This window comes from Homo sapiens, chromosome 2 (assembly GCF_000001405.40).
Source record: "Homo sapiens chromosome 2, GRCh38.p14 Primary Assembly".
NCBI lineage: Eukaryota > Metazoa > Chordata > Mammalia > Primates > Hominidae > Homo > Homo sapiens.
This window is the reverse complement of record NC_000002.12, coordinates 185,580,108-185,586,194: the sequence shown is the minus strand read 5'-3', so window position 1 is coordinate 185,586,194 and position 6,087 is coordinate 185,580,108. Positions and strand designations below refer to the sequence as shown.

Here is a 6,087-nt window from a genome sequence, read left to right as displayed (position 1 = left end):
ATGGATGAAATTGGAAATCATCATTCTCAGTAAACTATCGCAAGAACAAAAAACCAAACACCGCATATTCTCACTCGTAGGTGGGAATTGAACAATGAGATCACATGGACACAGGAAGGGGAATATCACACTCTAGGGACTGTTTTGGGGTGGGGGGAGCGGGGAGGGATAGCATTGGGAGATATACCTAATGCTAGATGATGAGTTAGTGGGTGCAGCGCACCAGCATGGCACATGTATACATATGTAACTAACCTGCACAATGTGCACATGTACCCTAAAACTTAAAGTATAATAAAAAAATAAATAAATAAAATTAAATTAAAAAAAGGAGAAATACCTAATGTAAATGACGAGTTAATGGGTGCAGCACACCAACAAGGCACATGTATACATATGTAACAAATCTGCACATTGTGCACATGTACCCTAGAACTTAAAGTATAATAAAAAATAAAAACTCTACACTTTAACTTCAATCCTCTAACTTTTCTACTTTCTGTTGTCTTTATTCAGATCTTTTTAAACCATCTCTTAAAAATTGTTGTAGCTATTGTTTTTGATAGGTTTGTCTTTCTTTCTTATACTAAAGATATGAGTGGTTTCCAGATTGCAATTACAGTGTCACACTATTCTCTGTTGAGAACAGGCCCCCAGATCTGGCCATAAACTGGCCCCAAAACTGGCCATAAAGAAAATCTCTGCAGCACTGTGACATGTTCGTGATGGCCATGACGCCCACGCTGAAGGTTGTAGGTTTACCGGAATGAGGTCAAGGAATACCTGGCACACCCAGGGCGGAAAATTGCTTAAAGGTTCCTAAACCACAAACCATAGCATGAGCAATCTGTGCCTTAAGGACATGTTCCTGCTGCAGATAACTAGCCAGAGCACATCCCTTTGTTTTGGCCCATCCCTTTGTTTCCCATAAGGAATACTTTTAGTTAATCTATAATCTACAGAAACAATGCTTATCACTGGCTTGCTGTCAATAAATATGTGGGTAAAACTCTGTTCCAGGCTCTTAGCTCTGAAGGCTGTGAGTCCCCTGATTTCCCACTCCACACTCTATATTTCTGTGTGTGTGTCTTTAATTCCTCTAGTGCCGTTGGGTTAGGGTCTCCAAGACCAAGCTGGCCTTGGCAATTCTGTATTTATGTATTTACCGTTAGCAGGTGATTTCTGGTTGTTCATTAGTGTCCTTTCCTTTCAAACTGAAAAATTTCCTTTAGCATATCTCGTACGACAGGTCTTGTGCTGAAAAAAATCCCTTAGCTTTTGTTTGTCAGGAAAAATATTTCTCTTTCATGTTTGAAGGATAATTTTCCTGGATATGTTATTCTAGGTTGACAGTACTTTTCCTTCAGCACTGAATATTTTATCCTACTCTCTTCTGTCCTAAAACGTTTCTCTTGAGAAGTCTGTTGCCGGGCATATTGGAGCCCCTTTATTTGTGATTTGCTTCTTTCCTCTTACTGCTTTTAGGACCCTTTCTTTATTTCTAACCTTTACAGTTTAACTAATGTATGCCTTGAGCCAGTCTTATTAGGGTTGAATCTTCTTAGAGTTCTATGACCTTTTTGTATCTGGTTATTCATATCTTCCTCTAGGCTTGGAAATTACTGTTATTATTCCTTTGCATTAACTTTCTACTCAGATCACTCTCTCTATGTCTTCTTTATGGCCGATAACTCTTAGAATTGCCTTTTTGAGGCTATTTTCTAGATCTTGTAGGTATGTTTTACTTTTTTTCTATTTTTCTTTATTTTTTTTTCTTCTGATTGCATTTTCATATAGCTTGTCTTCAAACTCACTATTTTTTTCTTCTTCTTGATTGGTTCTGTTGTTGAGAGACTCATGCATATTTTCAATTTGCCAGTTAAATTTTTCAGCTCCAGAATTTCAGCTTGATTTTAAAAAACTGTTTCAATCTTAATGTTAAATTTCTATGACAGAATTTAGAATTTCTCCTCTGGGTATCTTGAAGTTCACTTAGTTTGCTCAAGGCCACTATTTTGAATTCTCTGAAAGATCACATTTCTTAGTCATTCCATTTACACCTTATTTAGTTTGGTGAGGTTGTGTTTTCCTGGATATGCATGATGACTGTGAACATTTGTTGATGTCTGGGCATTGAAGAGTTAGGTATTTATTCCAGTCTTTGCTGTCTGGGGTTGTTTGTCTGGGCATCTTTCTTTAGCAGGTTTTTTATGTATTCAGAGTAGACTCAATGTTGCGATCTAAACCTGTGGTCACTGCATCCATATCAGCACTAAAGGGTGCCCTAAGCCCAAGAATGCTCTAATTCTTGCCAACTCCTACAGGCACCACTTTAGTAGGGCTGGGTAAAATAAGAGAGAATTTACTTAGTTATCAGACAAAGTATCTTGCCCTCTTCCCACTCTTCCCCCACAAATCGGCATAAGAATCTCCACATTCTGTGCTGCCTGGAGTTGGGAGAGGGGTGACATGGGCAGTCTTGTGGCCACCACAGCTGGCATGGCACTGGGTCATTCCTGAGATTTTGCACAAGACCTGTGGTGACTAATACCTGGCTACCACTGATGTTTATTCAAGACCCAAGGGCTGTGAGTCAGCAGGTGGTGATTCTTGTTGTAATGGGTTCTTCCCTTCCTGGCAGCACATTCCATTCTGGCCCAGGATGGGGGTAGAAATGCTATGCGGAAGACCTGGAATTGGAAACTTTAGGAATCTACTTGGTGCTTTATTTTACTGTCATTGACCTGGTACTTAAGTTGAAGGACAAAGTTCTCTGTACTCTTCCCTCTCCTTTCCCCAAATAGAAAGAGTCTCTCTTTGACCTCTACTTCCTGGAGTTGGTAGACAGGTGAAGTAGATACTACCTTGGCCACCACAGGCAGTGTTGCACTGTAATGTGCACCCCAATGCCACTGCTTCTGAGACCAGCACAGCACCAAGGCTTGCCCAAGGACTGCAGTCCTTGTGATCTGACTACCATCCAAATTTATTCTTGGCCATAGGCCATGTTAGTTCACCAGTGGTGGAGCCAGCCAGGACTTATGTTTAATGAGCTGGGGCTGAGAAAAGTTCCTCTCTGGCCCTGGGCTGGTCTAAATGCTGCCTCTGTGAGCTGCAACAAAATTCTACCCTATGTTTTGTTTCGCCATGACAGGTCAGCACTGAGTTACATTGCATAGACACACACTCAACTCTTCCTCCCCAAAGAGCACAAGCTTTTCTCCACGGTGCTGATATGGGATGAGAGAAGGATGGTGTAGGCATTACAAGATTGTTTTCTGCCCTCTTTGATGCTTCTGTCTTTGATATTATGTTAACATCAGGTACTGTGATGGCTTGTCTGATTTTTTTTGGTTATTACTGAAGGTCCTTTCTTGTGTACATAGTTGTTCAGTTCGATGTCTCTGTGGGAGGATGATTGCAGCAGAGTTCTATTCAGCCATCTTGCTCTGCCTCCCTCTCCTATTAAGGAATGAGCCAAGTCTTATATAAACATACACATATCAAATATTTAGCACAGTATCTGCAACACAGTTAGTACTGTTTTTTTTTATTGTAACATGATCTAATGCAGATAAGTAATCAAGTGGAGAAAATTTATGAGACTCACTATTTAAAAACTTGCAAAAGAAATATTTAAGCGTTATTGTATATAACACAAAATTCAATAATAAAATGTTTAAACTTTCCTTTCTATAAAACATCAAAGTAATAAATCTATGAGGTAGTGTCCTGAATAAAATGTGAGACGAGGGAGTTTTCAGTTGTGGTAATCACCATTTTCTTTCCAATAAGTTGAGTCTCTAAGTGGCCAGACAATAATTAAACTAATAACATAAACCATTAGCTGGTCATAAAAGGCTTTGTTGTTGTTGTAAGATGACAGCTGTGCAGATAGATGAACCAAGGAAGTATTGAGTGGTACAGGAACTACCACAGCACTGAGATTTAATTTCTAGATGTATACTACTATGAATTTTGATGGCATTCAAAACTTTCCTGTTTTGCATAAGTTATCCCTTAGGTTTCTCTGTGCCACTTCTAAAATAGTCTCTAAACACCTACCTTGGCCTTTGACTGACTCCCTAAATTAAAATGACTATTATTAAGAAAATATGTGCAACTTATTTTGTACACTCTGAGTCTAACTCATAAAATAATACACAATAACCAGTAGGTTATGTCATAGTTTTAAACTAAAAGCCTAACAAAAATAGGTCATTAAAAGTTAATGGGATTTTTCTCACTCTGTAGGAACATAATTCTCTATGCTTCTGTCATCTTCATTCTAATCCTGAGATCCAGCTGTTGAATAGACTTGAGATTATCACACAGTATACATTTATGTGTAAAATTGAATTCCTATTAAAGCTCATTTCTTCAATTGAAATATGCCTTGTAGCATTTCCCACGAAGAAGCCTGCTGTGGTCTGTCATGATACACTGAAAACAGACTTTCCTCTTTCAGCTTACTGCTTAGTGCCTGGGGAATGTGTTATTTATTCTATTTTCTTTTGTTTATTTCTTTTGGTTATAATCTGCACTATTTTGACAGAAAGAACACCAATTTGGCACTACTCTGTTTAAAATAAAGTGGAGTATATAATATTCTCACATTACCAATACTGTTTAAATGTGGAAACTCATAACAGGCAAATCAGTGTGCTGCTGCAAGAAATACTTGTAAGAATAATTGTCTCCTCTGTATTGTTATGGTAATAATTTCACTGGAAATAGTTTGGATTTTAAGAACTTACCCTAGACACATCTTAATCTTAGTATGAAATAGATTGACTATATTCTCATCACAAATAATAAAGAATTATTTTGAATTCGGATTAACATTTCAGTTCATAATATTTTTCCCCATCTGGTTCCTCTTCTGATCACTCTCATCACTTATCTGACTAGTGGGAAACATTTAAATGTCTTTCCTGATTTTAGTACTTAATATACGTTTATTTTTTCTTAATATTACAGAAAAAGTATTCTTTTTAAGATGTACATCTGGGAATGTGATTCCACTGCTGAAAATATTCAATGGCTTCTTAATATCTGTGATTCACTCATACATTAATCTTGGACCTATGTTGGATTATTATAACAAGACATTCAGGAGAAAAAAGAATTGTAAAAAAGAACAGTTCAAAGTATAGTATTTGAGAGAGAAGAAAGTTTTTTTTTCATAAAATTTACCTCCTGAAGAAAAAAAAAAGAATTATATAAAATATTCTTAAAATCTTGTGAGATTTTAGAAGCAATATTAAAAAAGAATAGGATTAAAAATACACCCAAACTCCCGAACTGAGAAAGAACATTATAAACATTACAAAAATTCTAAAGCTACACAGATTCTAAAAGAGATAATTATAAGAACTACGATGCTAAGCGTATCTTAACATTACCCTAAAGTGTAGAGCAATATGGCTTCGCAGTTTAACATCAGAGGAAGAACAACAGGAATTTTATTTTCTCAAAATAAGCAGTGAAAGCCAGAAAACAATGAAATGATATACAGTTGACCCAAAGGTGAAAGGTAAAACAATAAAGCTTTTGGGAAAAAATATGTAATATAGCTTGATTATTTGGGATAGACAATGATATTACAATCAGATATAAAAATGCAATTGATAAAGTTCAAGAAAATATAAAATGGATACATTAGAATTAAGTAATTTTACTCAAATTTACATCTGGAATATAAAACTCCTAAAAATTAATAATAAGGGGCCGGGCGTGGTGGCTCACGCCTGTAATCCCAGCACCTGGGAGGCTGAGGCGGGCAGATCACGAGGTCAGGAGATCGAGACCATCCTGGCTAACATGGTGAAACCCCGTTTCTACTAAAAATACAAAAAATTAACTAGGTGTGGTTGGGCACCTGTAGTCCCAGCTACTTGAGAGGCTGAGGCAGGAGAATTGCTTGAATCTGGGAGGCGGAGGTTACAGTGAGCCGAGATCACGCCATTGCACTCCAGCCTGGGGGACAAGAGTGAGACTTAATCTCAAAAAAATAATAGTAATAATAATAATAATTCAATAGAAAATTGAGTGTTTCCCCAAAAGGGCATTTAAATTGTTAAAATT

At 37.1% G+C, this 6,087-nt stretch overlaps 2 annotated features.

Annotated features, from left to right (window-relative positions):
* Positions 2,300–2,875: an enhancer, noted in NCBI's record as "OCT4-NANOG hESC enhancer chr2:186448047-186448622 (GRCh37/hg19 assembly coordinates)". NCBI's record gives its function as "activates a minimal SCP1, AML or CMV promoter by ChIP-STARR-seq in primed H9 embryonic stem cells {active_cell/tissue: H9 hESC(primed)}" and the evidence as "EXISTENCE:reporter gene assay evidence [ECO:0000049][PMID:30033119]".
* Positions 2,499–2,793: a silencer, noted in NCBI's record as "tiled region #9118; K562 Repressive non-DNase unmatched - State 24:Quies". NCBI's record gives its function as "represses a minimal TATA promoter and a strong SV40 promoter by Sharpr-MPRA in K562 cells {active_cell/tissue: K562}" and the evidence as "EXISTENCE:reporter gene assay evidence [ECO:0000049][PMID:27701403]".